This window comes from Homo sapiens, chromosome 2, assembly GCF_000001405.40.
Source record: "Homo sapiens chromosome 2, GRCh38.p14 Primary Assembly".
Lineage (NCBI taxonomy): Eukaryota > Metazoa > Chordata > Mammalia > Primates > Hominidae > Homo > Homo sapiens.
The window spans coordinates 215960639-215980477 of NC_000002.12; the positions used below are offsets into that span (position 1 = coordinate 215960639).

The following is a 19839-nucleotide window of genomic DNA, read 5'->3' on the forward strand; positions in this document are numbered from 1 at the left end:
TTCTGGCTAACATGGTGAAACCCCGTCTCTACTAAAAATACAAAAATTAGCCAGGCATGGTGGCGGGCACCTGTAGTCCCACCTACTTGGGAGGCTGAGGCAGGAGAATGGCGTGAACCTGGAAGGCAGAGCTTGCAGTGAGTTGAGATCGGGCCACTGCACTCCAGCCTGGGCGACAGGGCGAGACTCCATCACAAAAAAATAAAAAATAATAATAAAATAAAATTAAAAAAGCACCTGGGCCTGGACGGTGTCAAGGAGGGCACCCTCTTCCGGCACTACAAAAGCTGACTCTCTGCATCTACCAGGCATGGTATGCAAGCGAAAAAGAGAAGACTGTATTTCACTGTTCCTAGACAGCTGGTGCACTCATTAACTGTCTGCCCTAACCTCAGCCCAAATGGAAAAGGATCAAATGACACAGCAAAGAAACATAGTGACTGAGAGGATAGGCAAAAGACTGGACTAACCTTGGAGTAGCGGTTGGCAGGGGGTGGAGGCCAGGAGAGGCCTGTGCCCAGCGGTCTGGCACCTTCAAGACTTAGAGGGGCCGTCAATAACTCCCAACAATGGTTGGCTTTATGCTTTAGCTTGGATGTCTCACCACTCTGGAGCACTCCCTTTAAGAAAGGTTTGTCTGTTGGTAAACAGAGCTGATGAAAATGAGCCTTTTTGGCTGGGCAGGTCAAACTCGGATGTAGGTATCTCTCTCCATGCCTCATTAGACCTACCCATTCAGTGAGATGAGAACTAGCTTCTAGGTATCAGATTCACATGCAGGCCCCCCGCCTTTTTTGTTTTTTTTGAGACAGTGTCTTGCTCTGTCGCCCAGGCTGGAGTGCAGTGGCGCAATGTTGGCTCACCGCAACCTCCGTCTCCCGGGTTCAAGCGATTCGCCTGCCTCAGCCTCCCTAGTAGCTGAGATTACAGGTGCCCACCACCATGCCCGTCTAATTTTTGTATTTTATAATAGAGATGGGGTTTCATCACGTTGGCCAGGCTGGTCTTGAACTCCTGACCTCAAATGATCTGCCTGCCTCAGCCTCCCAAAGTGCGGGGATTACAGGCATAAGCCACCACACCCAGCCTCTCCTCCTTTTTGACCCAGAGCTATCTACTTGCCCTTTCACTGAATCCCAGGAAAAACTGGGTCTTAGTCAAGTTCACGATCCCCCTAGGCCTAGGACCACCTGCTGCTCCCATCACCAGGCCCTAAGTTCCCACCCCAGATGCTCTGATACTTAAAAGATTAATAAAGTGAAATTTGGGGTCAGTTCATCTCTATATACCATGCGGAGCCTCAAACCCCAAATCACACCTTGGAGTTACTGCTTAGAGCACCTTAGACAGGCACATCCATAGCCTGGTTACTAATGCAGTCCCACCACTCTTTGCAATGCTCAACTGTTTTGACTCTGAATCCGAGCTAGAGTTTTGACCTAGAACAGGTCAAATGCGAAGGCTGAGTAATGCTTTTCCAATTCTATTTATTTTTATTCCACGGCTCCACTTGAGTTCTGGAAACAGACTGCTTTGCAGCCAGAGGCCCCTGACCTAATTCTTTATCCTGGTTTTAACCAGATTAAGCCAAGGGAGAGCTCACAGCTCCTGCTGCCCAAGTAAGTCTGCAAAGCCACAGGAAGGTGCCACTAAGCAATAAGATTCGAGCTAGTTTTGTTTAATTTGGGGGCTCCCACCTCACGTACAGTTTAGGGTTAAAAGAGCAAAACTCAGGATGAGATTTTGCTAATGCTGTCAGGGGAGGGGTGGGGCTTGCCATTTTCCATGTGATATTGTTATTCCTAATCAACTAGTTGGAACCACCTCCGAGTTCTGGGGCTCTGCAAGGAAGAAAGATAATTAGTCACAGCAAAGACAAAGGATAATATGACTAAATTCCTGCCCGTGGATAGAAAAAGAAGACTTACATTTCTAACAAGGCAGAAATAGCCAATTCGTTCAATTAGTTTAAGCATGTACCATTGAGAAAGGCCACTTCTTCAAAGTCGTGACCCAAATTTAGACTGAACTCTGAATCCAGAGTAGAGAAAACATCTCAAAGATCTTGCTATCCCTCCACATCCAGACCTGTGTTGTCCAATACAGCAGCCAATAGCCACACGTGGCTACTGAGCACCTCAACGTAGCTGATCCAAACTGAGATGGGCGGTAAGGGTAAAATACACATCAGATTTTTGAAGACTTAAGAAAAAAGGGCCAAGCATGGTGGCTCACGCTTGTAATCCCAGCAATTTGGGAGGCCAAAGCAGATGGATTGCTTGAGCCCAGGAGTTTGAGACCAGCCTGGGAAATGTGGCAAAACTTTGTCCCTACAAAATATACAAAAGGCATAGTTGTGCACACCTGTAGCCCCAGCTTCTCAGGTGGCTGAGGTAGGAGGATTGCTTGAGGCTGGGAGGTCAAGGCTGCAGTGAGCTGTGATCACGCCACTGCACTCCAGTCTGGGTGACAGAGCGAGACCCTGTCTCAAAAGAAAAAGAAAAAGAATGTACAATTTGTCATTAAGAGTTTTTATATTGGCCAGGTGACGTGGCTTGCACCTGTAATCCCAGCACTGTGGAAGGCCGAGGCGGATGGATCACTTGATCTCAGGAGTTCAGACCAGCCTGGGCAACATGGTGAAAACCCCGCCTCTACCAAAAATACTGTAGTCCCAGCTACTCAGGAGGCTGAGGTGTGAGGATGGCTTGAGCCTGGGAGGCGGAGATTGCAGTAGGCCGAGATCGTGATCATGCCACTGTACTCCAGCCTGAGTGATAGAGTGAGAACCCATCTCAAAAAAAAAAAAAAAAAAAACAAAAAAACAGAGTTTTTATATTGATTACGTGTTGAAATGATAATTTTGTTATATAACTGATTAAATAAGACTATTAAATTTAATTTCACCTATTTATTTTTACTTTTTTAATGTGGCTACTAGAAAATTTAAAATGACTTATATGACTTGCATTGTATTTTTATTGGGCAGTGCTGATCCACACAACATTATACTCAATTGTTTAATTTTAAAGTATGGCAAAACTTGCAAAGGAATGTCTTTTTAGCCTAATACCACCAGAAAACACTCTTGTGTAGATCCTCCAGGTGGTAGTGGAGGTGAAGATTCATCCCCCTTTTAGTCCTTTATTTGAAGCGTGTCTTTCAGTTTACAAAAATGCTTTCATACCCATAATTCATTAACTGATAACTACACCTAGACAAACATCATTGCTTTGAAAAGACCTCTAAGACAAGAAAAAAGATAAATACATTTGACTAAATACAAATTTGAAACTTTTATATGTGACGGGAAGGAAATAATAGTGCCTTTCAGTTTACAAAAATGTTTTCACACCCATAATCTCACTTAACTGATAGCTACACTTAGACACGTCTCATTACTTTTAAAAGACTTCCAAGACAACAGAAAAAATAAACTTCACTAGTAAAATTTTGAAGCCTTTATACAGTTAGGGGAAAAAACCACAATAAAATGGCAAGCAATATACCAGAAAAAGCATTTGATACAAATATACCAAGGGGTTAATATAGAAAGAAAGTCAGGCCAGGTGTGGTGGCCCACACCTGTAATCTCAGCACTTTGGGAGGCAGAGGCAGGTGGATCACTAGAGGTCAAGAGTTCAAGACCAGCCTGGCCAACATGGTGAAACCCTGTCTCTACTAAAAATACAAAAATTAGCTTGGCATGGAGGCACACATCTGTAGTCCCAGCTACTCAGGAGGCCGAGGCACCAGAATCGCTTGAACCCAGGAAGTGGAGGTTGCAGTGAGCCAAGATTACACCACCGCACGCTAGCCTGGATGACAGTAAGACTCTGTCTCAAAAAAAAGAAAGAAAGAAAGAAAAGAACAGAAAATCACACTAATGAGCAAAAGACATTGAGATAATTCACAAAAAAATCAATTAAGGCATAATATCCACCCTATAATAACCAAAGAAATTCTCAAACAATGAACACTGTGTTGCTATTGTTGTCTAGCCAAATTATCTATCAAAAATAAAATGAAATTGTCCAGTGCTGGAGAGGGTCTAGTGAAAGGGGCTATTTTGTATTATGATTGAGTTATAAAATTTCTGTCACTTTCTGTGAAAACTATTTGTCAGGATGTATCAAAGCATATAAAAATGGGCAAAATCTTTAACCCAAGAATTCCAGTTCTAAGAATCTAGACAGACAGACAGATAGATAGATAGATAGATAGATAGATAGATAGATAGATAGACAGACAGATATCTCTTTTTAAAATACCAGAAGCAAAATGCAATAAAATAGTACGATAGTATTTATCTTGGCTAGGATTACATGTGAGTGACTTTTTTTCTCCTGTACTTTTCAAATTTTCCACAATGCTCACATACTTCTTTTATAATCAGAACAGAAACTTTAAAATCCCTAAGAATGATTATTTTTAAAGCTTCCTTTGTAAACCTAATCTAGCATCTAATTAGCTCAAAAATGGAAAAGTCTAGGTCTGAGTATGACTATAACTTAAATTTATTTTAAAAGGTATTTGCTATGTTTCAGATGGCAACTCACAGGCCATAACTCATCTGATTTCAAAGAATTTTGTTAAATTGAAAATCCTATTGATACATTTGCAGGTTCCTGTGCATGTCCCAGTATTCAGCTGAAAACACTGTTGCTTCTGTGGGGCATTGACTCTGTATTCCAGGATCTCGCCAGCCTCAAAGGGGAGAAGGCAGACAGGGAGCATGGCGACAGCAAGAACAAGGTGACGACAAGGACAGGAGCCCCAGCAGAGTTGAGGTCATCTTGTGGGATAGGGGAGAACATTCAGCAGAGATAGGCAGGGGATACAGAGGGAGGAAGGAAGAGAAGAAATTAGAAAGTTAAAATGTGCTTTTTTAGAAAAACCAACAATCCTAGAAATCTGACAGTTTCTCATTCTTTAGCCCAAAAGCTTCTTGTTGTAGTGGTCAACCCTTTCCTAATTATTCCTCCAGGATACCTATCACCATGAACCCTACCTTACATTTGCTCTTCCTTTGTTTGCAAGCTGTCAAGTTGTTTATCTCTGCTTGACACTGAACAATTACAGTCCTTTTTTACCTTTACTCCCTAGGAGGAAGAAGTTTAAGCAGCAGGGCTGTGATCCATTCATTGACCTAAAGGGAGTAGGGGACTTGGTGGTGAGAAGAGATGAATGATCCCAGGAAAAAAGGAATGAAGGCAGGTGAACCAATCTAATTTCTCATCAATTGCACCTCCAGGTAATGAGAGGAATGATCTTTGCTAGGAGGAAAAACCTTGTCTACTGAATGCCCTTAGAAGGATGTCTCTGGCCAGAGGATTTCTTAGAATTGCAATACCCAAAATCTTTGAGGCGTGGCTCCCTGGAAAATGTCATGTAGCCAACAAAATAATGAGGGGTATCAAATGGAGTTCTTTTAAAACTTAAAAGCTTTGCACTGTACACCTTACTTAGACCCATTTAGTATTGTGAATCAGAGGGACAGGTCTAGGGAGGGAGAGGGGGTCCCAGGGAGACATCCTCAATGCCCCAGACCTCTCTCTGCTTTATCTGAGCCTCTCAATAGCCTGCCTCTTCGGAATTATTAGTAAAGCTTAATGATGGGTAAAATTCATGATCCGCGTGGATCTGATTTGACAATGGGTTTTGCTCATCCCGCCCCACTTCCATAGCTTGATTTCTACTTTCTAATTTTTCCATATTTTTCATGACCTACCCCAGTTCTTCTCAAATTACCTATATTCTTTTTTTAAGACTTACAGCCACAAACTAAACCACTTCCCTAATCACCCCAAGCACATCTAGAGCACACTGTGTCCCCACAAACAAACCTGGTCACACTGACACTTTAATAAAAGGGGCAGTATGTTGTGCTTGTCAATGGCAATAGGGTTCCTTTAACAGCTGAGAATTATTACTTAAGTTCAAGCCTTGTAAAACATTTTCCCTTTTTTTTTTTTTTTTTTGAGATGGAGTCTCACTCTGTCATCCTGGCTGGAGTGCAGTGGCACGATCTCGGCTCACTGCAACCTCTGCCTCCCAGGTTCAAGCAATTCTCCTGCCTCAGCCTCCCAAGTAGCTGGGATTATAGGCGTGTGCCACCACGCCTGGCTAATTTTTGTATTTTTAGTAGAGACGAGGTTTCGCCATGTTGGTCAGGCTGGTCTCGAACTCCTGACCTCGTGATCCTACCACCTTGGCCTCCCAAAATGCTGGGATTACAGGCATGAGCCACTGCACCTGGCAAACATTTTCCATTACAATTCTAGTATCCCATTCACTGTCCATTTTTACACCCCCATAATCTTTAACTGAGCCTACAGATTCTGCCTCCCTGACTCAAGTGTTGGGGTTTACTCTTACAAACGCTGATGCCAAAAGCCTCAGGCAAAATAATCACTTAAACTGAAGCAGTCCTGGGATTGTCTGGAAAAACTGGTTAACATATTTGTTTATAATTACCCCAGTCTTTCCTCGTTATTATAGACATATGAATGACTCCTCACCAAGCCAGTCACGAAGCTGCCTTTTGGATCATGAATTCTGCAGCCATTCCCAGTTTCTGAGACCTTTACCTTGTCAGTCATCTGCCTGCCTCTTTGTCAACATGATAGGCTTCAGATAAAGCCATTAAAACATTTCCTGTGAATTTAAAACCCCAGAATATGAAAGGAAAATAGCAGAGTGGCACTAGTCCAAGACAGGGTGCATTTTAATATATTTGAAAATTATAGTGCATTTTTTCACTTAGACTAATCTCACATAATAGAGCACTGTTTAGCCATTTTTCAAAAGAAAGAAATCACCAGTAAATGAAAAATGTTTTATACCCATAAATGAAAAAGCTAGAAGATTCTCTCAATCTCTAAAGAGAATCTCTTCTTCCAAAGTATCATAAATCAGGGGGTATAAGAAGTCTTCCTTAAAGAGGCTGCTCATGTGTCCTTTTTGTATGAAAAATTAAATCCACACAGTCATTTGCGCCAAGCCTACTGAGCACCAAGTGGCCTTAAGTAGAGGCCAGCAAACTTTTTATGTGTATTTTATGTTGGGGTTCTGTGTGAGACATCATTAGTAGCAAAAAAGCAGCCATAGTCAGTATGTAACCTCATGGGCACGACTGTGTTCCAATAAAACTTTATTTATAAATAGGCAGCAAACTGGATTTGGCCCATGTGTCATAGTGAGTCCTAAGTGTGAAGGGAAATGTAGCAGGAGGAATCAAATCCACCCATTTTACTCTCAAAAATGCCCACAACTTCCACTTCAGGCCCAGTGCATGCATCTTCCTCAAAGGGCATGAATGAGGTCTGGCATGAATGAGGTCTAGCAGCTTAAGATGCAAACACATAAGAATCCAATATTTAATGTTTTGGGGGTTAAAAGCTACATCACCTCTTCACAGCACATCAGCCTTTAAATATGAGGACTTTTTGAAATCATGTCTCCAGAAGGAGGTATCCCTTCTGTTAGATGAGAAAACAGGCCCAGAGAGGTTGAGTGGTCAGCCAAAGGTCACACAGCAAATTCACAGTAGAGTCAGAAGACAGTAGTAGAGTTAGGCCCAAACCCCAGGAACCCCTTCTGCTGAGTCACCTTCCTCTTGTGCTCTAGGGAACAAGCATCTGTTTTACTTTTCACCACTCATTACCACAGCATCAGGTAACAGAGTAAAAAAGATGAGCTTTTAATCTTGCTTCGGCAGGATAGTGATTTTTTCAAATGTTGCCTCACAACAGAACCCCAACATAAAATACACATGAAAGAAAGGTGCCTCTCTCCCTCTGCCTGGCCCCACCCAAAGCTCATGGGACAGCTTGAAGGGATCCTGATGATCACAGAAATCAAGTAGTTCGAAAGTGATTTTCATTACCATCTACTATCTCTTAGCACCTCTCAGTTCTAGCACTCCCCTCCTCTACCTCTCAGCCCTGCCCTACGCCCAGGGCCTACTGATGCAGTGTTCCCTCTTACAAGCTTCCCCTCTGTAGCCTACAATCAAAACTTACTAGTCCTGGAGCCCAGTCCTTTGAAAAACTAATTTGTGCTGACCTATGAGTAATTGGTAACTTAATTTTTTGCTAAACATAATTAATCTGTCTCATTAGAACTTTTTCTTTGAGACAGGGCCTCACTCTGTCACCCAGGCTAGAGTACAGTGGTGCAATCATGGCTCACTGCAGCCTCAACCTCTGAAGCTCAAGCAATCTTCCCGCCTCAGCCTCCAGAGTAGCTGGAGCTAAGGGTGCACACCACCACGCCTGGCTAATTTTGTTTTTATTTTTAGTAGAGATGAGGTCTTGCTATGTTGCTCAGACTGGTCTCAAACTCCTGAGCTCAAGCAATCCTCCTGCCTTAGCCTCCCAAAGTGCTGGGATTACAGGCGTGAGCCACTGCACCTGGCATTGTCTGATAAGAATTTAATGTGTTATTCTTCCCAGACATCAGATTTGAGTTTTAAAGGGGCCTTTAGTAGCCCAACACAATGTTTTTGAAATTGGGCAGCTTCTCCAAAGATGTCTCGGGAGCTGCCTAAGATGGAGAAATCTAGGCTTCTACCCCTATGTCATTCACCCAGAGAAGCTTTAATTGTATTAGTTTCCTGGTGGATTTCATTTGAGGGAAGAGTTCCAGAGATAACATAAAAAAGCTTAAAAACCACAGACTTATGCCAAAGCACTGACCCATGATCAACATCTGAACCACAATGCCAGTACAGAAGTTATTTTAAGTGTGTCAAGAACTGTAAAGCATCTGAGATTTCACCCCCTTTACAAGCTAACAAGTTCTCCTGCCAATTTCATGGGTGCTGGCAAAAGAAACGAGATTCCTGGATCAGCATTTTTATGCCATTTCTCTTGAGTGCCCGTTTCCATATTGTAAGGCAGAGAAAAACAAATGATGTGTATACAGTAGGTTGCATTACAGAGGAGAAACCCTGAACTTAGGGAACCTGAATCTTTTATAACGGGCAATAATCCTGCCTGCCCTTTGTGCCAGAGGGAGACAGTATGTCCACCTCCCAAGGCCACGCATTATATAAGCATCCTTGAAAAGACAGTCCAGAACAAAGGGCAGACGATGACTCTACTTACAACATGTGCAGAGACCAGCAGACCCAGGGAGAACTGTCTCCCAATATGGAGGTCATGGAGGGGTGGGGGGCAGTTAAAGCTAGGCCTACTTAGGACTCCCTTTGTAAGCTTCCCAGGCTGGGAGTTAGCGGGTTCAGAGGGAAAGAAAAAACCTTGCAAAGGGACAAAGAAGTGTTTTCTACTCATTTAGTTAGAAAGCATTCACCATCCCTCTTAGGATAGAGTTAAAAATTCTCACCATGGCCTACATTTTTTATTTTATCAATTGCATGCCTATCATTATGGGTTAAATTGACTCCCCGCAAAATTGGTATGTTGAATCCTAAGCCCCAGTACCTCAGAATGTGACCTTATTTAGACACAATCTCTTTACAGAAGTAATCGAGTTAAAATGAGGTTATTCTGGTGGGCCCTAATCCAGTACAACTGCTTTCCCAATAAGAAGGGGAAATTTAGATAGAGACACATGCACAGGAAGACAACAAAGATACAGGGAGAAGACAGCCACCTCCAAGCCAAGGATGGGGGCCTGGAGAACATCCTTCCCTCAGAGCCCTCAGCAGGAACCAACCCTTCATCTCAGACTTCTTGCCCCCAGAACTGTGAGAGAACAAATTTCTGTTGTTTAAGCCACCCAGTTTATGGTACTTTGGAACAGCAGCCCCAGCAAACCAATACACCCACCAAATGAATGTATTTTCCATTTTGAATTCACAAGATGAATCAAATAAACAGAGCCATCCATGAAATATGAGTTTTTCTACTTTGAGACTTCTGCATCAAAGGACTGTGACTCAAGCCTCTCTAACAAGAGTCTCTTACTCATCTGCACAGCCATACATGCACAAGGGCAGCAGGGAAACAGCATGAGCTCTGGGTCTGAGTCTGAGCTTCACCCCTGACTAGCAAGTCATTCAGCCTCTGTGACCTCAGTTTTACGAACTGTAGAGTGGAAGACACTTGCCTGCCAATGCCACAGGCTTGTAAAGCTCAAACGTTACACGAGAAAGCACGCTGCAAAGAAAAGTGCTGTACGAATGTTAATTATTAGGATAAGATGATCACAGCTTCAGCTGCTACAGTGGGTTAAAAATAATACTGATATTTACAATAGCAAAGACTTGGAACCAGCCCAAATGCCCATCAATGATAGACTGGATAAAGAAAATGTGGCACATATACACTATGGAATACTATGCAGCCATAAAAAAGAATGAGTTCATCCATGTCCTTAGTAGGGACATGGATGAAGCTGGAAGCCATAATTCTCAGCAAACTAACACAGGAACAGAAAACCAAACACCACATGTTCTGACTCATAAGTGGGAGTTGAACAATGAGAATACACGAACATGGGGGTGGGGAGGACATCACACACTGGGGCCTGTCAGGGGATGGGGCGCAAGGAGAGGGAGAGCATTAGGACAAATACCTAATGCATGCAGGGCTTAAAACCTAGATGACGGGTTGATACGGGCAGCAAACCACCATGGCACATGTATGTCTATGTAACAAACCTGCACATTCTGCACATGCATCCCAGAACTTAAAGCAAAATTTAAAAAATAAGAATAAAATAGTGACAACTGCTATCCACGCTTGGAGGTAGGAGTTCAATAGAAAATCATCATTCTGACACATGTCAGCATTTGCCCTCTCTCTAGTTTCCATGTACCCTAAGGTGCTTTTTATTCCCCAACCATCACTTCAAAACAGGTAAGCGGTAAATACTATGTCATGGATCAAAATATTAAGAAGTCAATGAAATTCTATGTTTTTGGACACCTAGCAATCAAAAGCCTAGATCTATCTGGTCCTGAGCCAGTTCCTCCAGATGACTGGATCTTGCCCTGTGTCAGATGAGAAGTTCGCATAAAGAAAGGTACAGGCAGAATAAGGTAGAATATCCTGGACAAGCTGAATGTAGAAAAACATGGATCAAAGGAGCAGAGGTCCTGCCTGCTTCCTTTCCTGTGTGTGTTACAGGGCCCTGCTCTCAACTTACTGTAGCTGGGAGAAGAGTCCAAAGCAGCAGAGACAAAAGAGCAAGAAAAGACCTTTCAAAACTAGGGCAGAGGAACAGGTAGAGTGAGTATATGAAGGACAGTCTGTGTTTCAACATCAACCAAGGATCTGCCAGCGAGAAGGGAGATCATTTCTCAAACGCACTGCCTTACCTAACCCATCAGATGGGAAAGACATTCCCGGCACCCGCAGTTAGTTGCCCGATGGTGCAACTCCAAGATATGCCAGGTGCTGATTGCCAGCTCATGCCAGGGATCACCCCCTCTAGACCATTCAGTCCTTGGGCTCCACAAGATCGTTTTGGACAGGAAACCACCTGGATGGTCCAGTGCCGTGTCCTCTACCTTCAGGACCCTGTCTCCTTCCTAGGAATCCTGGATCCCAAGCCTCTGGCAGTATTTCTCAGATGATGAGGCTGCTCCAACTCCAACGTGGGAAAGACCAAAAACTTCAGCAGCATTATCCAAAGGTTATCTGGAACTCCAGCAAGAAAGCACTGAACTGGCCTATTTAGAAAACCTCTCCTCTCCATAAAAAATTTAAAAAGAAAAGGAGGAATAAGAAGATAGGATTAAAAAGAGCTGTGAGGCCAGGTGCAGTGGCTCACACCTGTAATCCCAGCACTTTGGGAGGCCGAGGCAAGTGGATCACTTGAGGCCAGGAGTTAGAGACCAGCCTAGCCAACATGGTGAAAACCCATTTCTACTAGATGTACAAAAACTAGCCAGGCCTGGTGGTGCTTGCCTGTAATCCCAGCTACCTGGGAGTCTGAGGCGAGGTTGCGGTGAGCCGAGATTGTGCCACTGCACTTCAGTCTAGCCAATAGAGTGAGACTCTCTCCCAGAAAAAAAAAAAAAAAAAAAAGGATAGAGGAAGCATTTTGGGATATGGATATGTTCATGACCTTGATTGTGGTGATGATTTAATGGGTGCAAAAATTATCTAATTGTACATTTTAAATATATGCAGTTTATTGTATGTCCATTATACCTCAATAAAATTGTTTTTTAAAAAACAACAACAACAACAATTCCCTCAATTTCACCAATTACGATGAATTGGGGTTTACAGGTTCCTCTTCCAAAATTGGAGAGCAGGTTAAATTCATCCGCCATTCACACCCCTCACTGAATTCCTCTGGTTGTCTCCTAATACCTGCTTTTTAACAATTCCCAGGTGAGCTAAGCCTAGGTAGAGTGAATGGACATGTAACTGGGTGAAAAGAAGGGAGAAAAAAATATGAGTGTTGGGGTCCTTTGGGGGTGAGCCAGACTTGGTAAGGAGCAACCAAAAGGGGCACAGCCAGAGGATGATAGGGCAAGAACCCTGGAGGCTGGATGACCCTGGAGAAGGGGCCCTTCGAGAGTTAAAAGGAGAGCCCAGGACAACAGAGGGAATGACCTTGCATGCAAAGGCAGCCCACCTTGCTGGTTACAAATACCTCTTTGGGTAGCTTCGTCCTACTCCAAAGCCCATTCCCTCCAAACTTCTGCCTGGACAAGCAAAGAGATAACGGCTCAAGAGCATGTACTGCAGTCACTCCCCATTGAAAGCAACGCTGAAACCTCATTAACATTAAACAGATAACACCACATGCAGCATAAGATGACAAAGAGCATTTTTGAATTTATTTTTGCAGACTGCCGAGGCCGGATTCAAAGAGTGGACACCCTGTCCAGTCCACAGTCCACAGGCCTCTCCCTCCTTACAAGCTGTTGCATGCCCACTCCCAGCTATCCTCCAACTCCCCCAAATGTTAAGTGATTGCTGGGAAAGAGATTGGAGCAAATGGATAAACGCAGGTCCCTGAGGCATGTCCTGGGCTTTTCAACAAATTCAACTGCAGTAGATTTTTATCTCTACCACTTCAACCTGTTTTCCAAACTTTCTGGTACACTCACCAACGCTGGCAAAAAAGAAAAGAAAAGAAACTAGAACAGATTAAAGTACATTCAGTTGTACACTGGAACAAAAAATATTTTGGTTGTGCTGCAACAGGCTGACTCCCATCACAGCCCTCTCTGAGGACAGCCTAATACCTGGGCCTGGTTAACCATCAAAGGCACCTGAACCTTCTACTTCTTAGTTGAAAAATGCAACTCCACAGCCAGGTCTGGCAATCTGTGGCTCCAACACACTTCTTGCATGCTTGTGGCCTCCTGCTGCAAAACATGTTTTTTATGGAAGAAGAAACTAGGTTAATTTGCACTCGGGTCCATTGAAAATCACCCCATGTTAAGTGCTTTATTAACAACAAAGACAACAGCATATTGGTAAAAGAGCTTGGGTGTGACTTTTCCTCACCTAGATTGTAATTCGACATAGCAATTATTTCAAGAGGGTGTGCCCAGCTTGTATTCATTTGCTGTGTGGCCTGCCTCCTAGATTGCAAAACCATAAAATGACACATCTCACTCCTGGGCTGTAAATAGCATGACCATGTGTAAGGATTATGTAACAACAAGTATCCGGGGACCTGGCACCCAAAGGAAAGGACTGTTTCAGGTCAAGAAAAATACGGTCTCTTTCCAGAACACTGGATTTAAGTCTGAGAAGCAGCAGGTCTCAGCCCACATCAGAACTGGGCAGGTGCTCCCATTTCCCCACATATTCAATTAAAGCCAGAAAGCAAGCCCAGTGTTCTTATGGAGGGCTCCTCAGAACCCTCCTCGATGCCCCACCTGAGCCCAAGCATGTCAGGAGGTTCCACTGCGTCTGTATCTGGGACTCTCCTGGGCTCCATGCAATTAAGAGCCATTTTTACTGTAAGAGGAGCCAGACCAACCAAGGGAAGAGGCAGGGCTAGGAGTGGTGGTGAGGGCACAGTGGTGAAAAAGGCAACACACAAAGATCTATTAATTAGCATGTGACTTTACAGGCAGGGGAGGGGAAGACAGCTGCAAAGAAAGGTACTGATGTAAAGGAAGAATCTTAGACCCTTGGAAAGATAAATGCTGACCAATGGCTTCATCGCCTTTCTGCTTTATCTACTCTGGTGAAATTCCTCAAAGCCTGCTCCAGTTCCTAAACACAGACACAGACACACACACAGACACACACACACACACACACACACACACTCTCTCTCTCTCTCTCTCTCTCCCTCTCTCCACCTCCCACTTTCTCCAGCACACCCACAGTAAATCAAAGCAAAACAGTTTAGAAAGATCCAGGGAAACAGCCACCACAAAATGTGTTAGGAAATAACAGGGAGAGAATTTTATTTTATATGAATTATATATATATATATATATGAAATAATACCTCTGAATTGTATTCAAACTGTACAGAAAACTATAAAGTTAAAGGAAAGTAAAAGCCTCCTTCCCTCCACCTACTTCTACTGCAGGTAACAGTCCACAAATCTTATCATTGTACATTAGCATATACATGCTTTTACACAAATGGGATAACATTATACATACCCATTTAGCAATAGATCATAACCGTCTTTCTAAGTCACTATCTATAAATCCTATCTCATTATTTTTCAAGGTATATAGCATTCATTAGTGAAGCTACTTAAGATGTACTTAACCAGTACTTTCATTGGGTAGTTTTATTTCTATACTTTTGCCTTTCATAACCATAACTTTGTTTAGCAGTGTGAGAATGGTGCCCACTGACCATAGGCTAGATTGACAGCAAAACTGCTGGATGAGTTGACTTAATTTAGTTGCAATATGTAGGCTATTCTACCTTAAAAAGAGCTAGTCAGTGCAACCTAAATGACTGCCACAGAAGCCAAGGAGCTGTTTTGATCACAAGGAATACCATTTGGGGGCAGCCACATCCCATGGGCTCAGCCAAGAGAAAAATGTAAATCTTTACTAGACACTGCCACAGTCCATTCGGGCAGAGATTTTCCAAAGCTTAATAACCTCATAGGTTTCTGTACCTTCAGTCAGCTTTATATATTAAATAATGCATCAAGAAAATGAATAAGCCTTCAGTTGGGAAAGTGTAACTATCAATGGGCAACAGAGATGATATCATTATTTGACAGGAAGACAGTCAAGAAGTCTCATAGGGCCGGGCGCCGTGGCTCACACCTGTAATCCCAGCACTTTGGGAGGTTGAGGCGGGCAGATTGCCTGAGGTCAGGAGTTCAAGACCAGCCTGGCCAACACGGTGAAACACTGTCTCTACTAAAAATACAAAAAGTAGCCGGGCATGGTGGTGTGCACCTGTAATCCCAGCTACTCGCGGGGGGCGTGGTATGGGGGAGCTGGGCTGAGGCAGGAGAGTCGCTTGAACCCAGGAGGCAGGGGTTGCAGTGAGCCAAGATCGCACCACTGCCCTCCAGCCCAAGTGATAAAGCAGGACTCCGTCTCAAAAAAAAAAAAAAATGGGACAGTAGGATGTCATTTCCTCACTGAGCCTTGGCAGTGCATTAAGTTCCACTTGCAACAATCTGCGTGTTTCACTCGGACTACAATTTCTTGAAACTCTACCTTCCATTCTATCCCATGCATCTTGCCTTCTATTCCAAATCTGTTGGTTCTGTCTGGGTATCTGCCCAGCCTCTTCAACTAGAGCCTTTATTTGAAATACATCCCTTGCTCTTAGCCCCATATTCACACAATATTACATTATTCTAGATTTGCTTTGATTCCACATTCTGCTACCTGCCTTCCCAAATTTCTGCCTGTACCCAGTGCTTAAGGCTACTACTCATCTGGGGATGACATTCAGAAATCACCATCTACCACCATCAAAGGACAGGAGGTTCTGGCCAAATGACATGAATAACTTTATACTGGAGAGGAAAGCACCGAGTTATCATACCTTGAGGACAACGGTAGTTGGTGTGGTATAGGTAACGTATTTAGAGCAACATCTGGAGTACAGGGAGTGCTCCATAAGTGTCAGTTGTCGGGAAGCCCATCAGACTAACAGCGGATCTCTCAGCAGAAACTCTACAAGCCAGAAGAGAGTGGGGGCCAATATTCAACATTCTTAAAGAAAAGAATTTTCAACCCAGAATTTCATATCCAGCCAAACTAAGCTTCATAAGTGAAGGTGAAATAAAATCCTTTACAGACAAGCAAAGGCTGAGAGCTTTTGTCACCACCAGGCCTGCCTTACAAGAGCTCCTGAAGGAAGCACTAAGCATGGAAAGGAACGACTGGTACCAGCCTCTGCAAAAACACGCCAAATTGTAAAGACCAAGGATGCTAGGAAGGAACTGCATCAACTAACGGGCAAAATAACCAGCTAACATCATAATGACAGGACCAAATTCACATATAACAATATTAACCTTAAATGTAAATGGGCTAGATGCCCCAACTAAAAGACACAGACTGGCAAACTGGATAAAGAGTCATGACCCATCAGGGTGCTGTATTCAGGAGACTCATCTCACTTGCAGAGACACACATAGGCTCAAAATAAAGGGATGGAGGAAGATCTACAAAGCAAATGGAAACCAACAAAAAGCAGGGGTTGCAACCCTAGTCTCTGATAAAACAGACTTTAAACCAACAAAGATCAAAAGAGACAAAGAAGGCTATTACATAATGGTAAAGGGATCTATTCAACAAGAAGAACTAACTATCCTAAATATATATGCACCCAATACAGGAGCACCCAGATTCATAAAGCAAGTCCTTAGAGACCTACAAAGAGACTTAGACTCCCACACAACAATAATGGGAGATTTTAACACCCCACTGTCGATATTAGACAGATCAACGAGACAGAAAATTAACAAGGATATCTAGGACTTGAACTCAGCTTTGCAGCAAGCTGACCTAATAGACATCTACAGAACTCTCCACCCCAAATCAACAGAATATACATTCTTCTCAGCACCACATTGCACTTATTCCAAAATTGACCACATAGTTGGACGTAAAGCACTCCTTAGCAAATGTGAAAGAACAGAAATTATAACAAACTGTCTCTCAGACCACAGTGTAATCAAACTAGAACTCAGGATTAAGAAACTCACTCAAAACTGCACAACTACATGGAAACTGAACAACCTGCTCCTGAATGACTCCTGGGTAAATAATGAAATGAAGGCAGAAATAAATATATTATTTGAAACCAATGAGGACAAAGACACAAGGTTCCAGAATCTCTGGGACACATTTAAAGCAGTGAGTAGAGGGAAATTTATAGCACTAAATGCCCACAAAAGAAAGCAGGAAAGATCTAAAATCGATACCCTAACATCACAATTAAAAGAACTAGAGAAACAAGAGCAAACAAATTCAAAAGCTAGCAGAAGGCAAGAAATCACTTAAAATCAGAGCAGAATTGAAGGAGATAGAGAAACAAAAAAACCCTTCAAAAAATCAATGAATCCAGGAACTGGTTTTTTGAAAAGATCAACAAAATTGATAGACCACTAGTAAGACTAATAAAGAAGAAAAGAGAGAAGAATCAAATAGATGCAATAAAAAATGATAAAGGGGATATCACCACCGATCCCACAGAAATACAAACTACCATCAGAGAATACTATAAACACCTCTATGCAAATAAACTAGAAAATCTAGAAGAAATGAATAAATTCCTGGACACATACACCCTCCCAAGACTAAACCAGGAAGAAACTGAATCTCTGAATAGACCACTAACAGGCTCTGAAATTGAGGCAATCATTAATAGCTTACCAACTGAAAAAAGTCCAGAACCAGATAGATTCACAGCCGAATTCTACCAGAGGTACAAAGAGGAGCTGGTACCATTCCTTCTGAAACTATACCAATCAACAGAAAAAGAAGGAATCCTCCCTAACTCGTTTTATGAGGCCAGCATCATCCTGAAACCAAAACCTGGCACAGACACAACAAAAAAAGAGAATTTTAGACCAATATCTCTGATGAATATCGATGCAAAAATTCTCAATAAAATACTGGCAAACCGAATCCAGCAGCACATCAAAAAGGTTATCCACCACGATCAAGTCAGCTTCATCCCTGGGATGCAAGCCTGGTTCAGCATACTCAAATCAATAAACATAATCTATCACATAAACAGAACCATCAGCAAAAACCACATGATTATCTCAACAGATGCAGAAAAGGCCTTTGACAAAATTCAACAGCACTTCATGCTAAAAACTCTCAATAAACTAGGTATTGATGGAACATATCTCAAAATAATAAGAGCTATTTATGACAAACCCACAGCTTAATTACTAATCAAAGCTTCCTGATTTAATGTGAGACACATCATTTTGAATAAAATTAACTGATGAATGGACACATCGGGTAGAATTTGAGCTTCTGTTAAAGCATGCCCTGTGTATGACAATAGCCTAGATGTCTTTGAAATAACAATCACACATTGGAGTTTTCATAAGAGGGAAATAAGCTGGATGCTATCTTACATTTTTTTCTACAAAGTTCTATGTCTACAAGCTTATTCCTGTTAACATTTAAAATAAAAGATAGGTCGGGCACGGTGGCTCACGCCTGTAATCCCAGCACTTTGGAAGGCCGAGGTGGGTGGATCATCTGAGGTCGGAAGTTCAAGACCAGCCTGACCAACATGGAGAAACCCCATCTCTACTAAAAATACAAAATTAGCCGGGCATGGTGGCGCATGCCTGTAATCCCAGCTACTCGGGAGGCTGAGGCAGAAGAATCACTTGAACCCGGGAGGCGGAGATTGCAGTGAGCCGAGATCGCGCCACTGCAGTCCAGCCTGGGCAACAAGAGTGAAACTCCATCTCAAAAAATAATAATAATAATAATAATAATAATAATAATAATAATAATAATAAAAGGTAAACAAAGTTATTCAATTATCTGCCCTAAATTCACTGAACCTTGTAGCTTTCCTTCTCCACTTTATAGTAAACAGCATTGACACCAAGTAAGAAGTGCATTTCTGTTTGGGCACTACTGAGAAAAGTCACTTAACCTCTTGGGTCTCTCACTCACTCTTTTTTAAAATAAATAGTTTATTTATCTCAAAAGACTGCCTTGAGAAGCCAGCAAGTGCTTATAGGAGGTGCCTTGACTGTACGACAGGGAGGTATCTCTGATGATCTCAGACACTCTAAGAAAAACCAAAGTCAATACTGAGTAGGTCACTGGAGGCTTGACTTGGTATTAACCCCTGGTGTTTCAAAATGTATATGTCATCGACTGTGATTTTTTAAAGATAAAAGCTTTGAGGCAGCTTTATGGTTTCAGTTTCCTTTCAGGCCCTGTTTTATGCAAGATGTGAAAAAAACAAACAAACAAAAAAAAAAAACAAAAAAAACTAATGGAAAGAGCCCATTTCTGTCAGTAAATTATCCTGCACATGCCTGCCAATTAATATGTGGCCTTCCAGAAATTTTGACCATCACAAGCACAATACGCAGGAAATGCAGAGGTGCAGCAATGCGTTGCTGTGACAGCAAGGTTCTGGATATGGAGAAAGTTGGCCAGCATCTGCCCTTTTCCTCCAGGCACTGCTTTCTCCTGGAGGGCCCCAACTTGTTGTCCATCCTTCCTATTTCACTGAACTGTCAGGACTCACAAGGTACGTTACCCTTGGCCTTCATATATCTTTCTGGGGCTCCAGGGCAGTGAGGTCAATGAGGACAAACTCTAAAGAAGAGTAAAACAAGGAGGCCTGGTCATCACAACCTAGAATATAAATGCCCAGAAAACAGAGTAGAATTCAGTTACAAAAAGCTCCCCAGTCTCCTGTTCTTTCCTTTACCTTCCACGGCCAAGCAGCTTCGAGGGAGGCT

General features: G+C 42.7%; 1 protein-coding gene across 9 annotated transcripts in view; it reads right to left on the reverse strand.

The window, feature by feature from the left end:
• MREG (melanoregulin) overlaps positions 1-19839 on the reverse strand; it is a 94789-nt gene that overhangs the window by 21331 nt on the left and 53619 nt on the right. For 4 of the 9 annotated variants that reach the window (XR_001738843.2, XR_001738842.2, XR_922965.2 and 1 more), the window contains exon 3: positions 471-620. The exons of the other annotated variants lie outside the window; for them this stretch is intronic. Coding sequence is in view for 1 of the 4 variants with exons in the window: in NM_001372188.1 (NP_001359117.1) it covers positions 471-620 (150 nt within the window). In the remaining 3 variants the exon portion in view is untranslated. The remainder of the gene's footprint in view (positions 1-470; positions 621-19839) is intronic. 9 annotated transcript variants of the gene reach the window in all.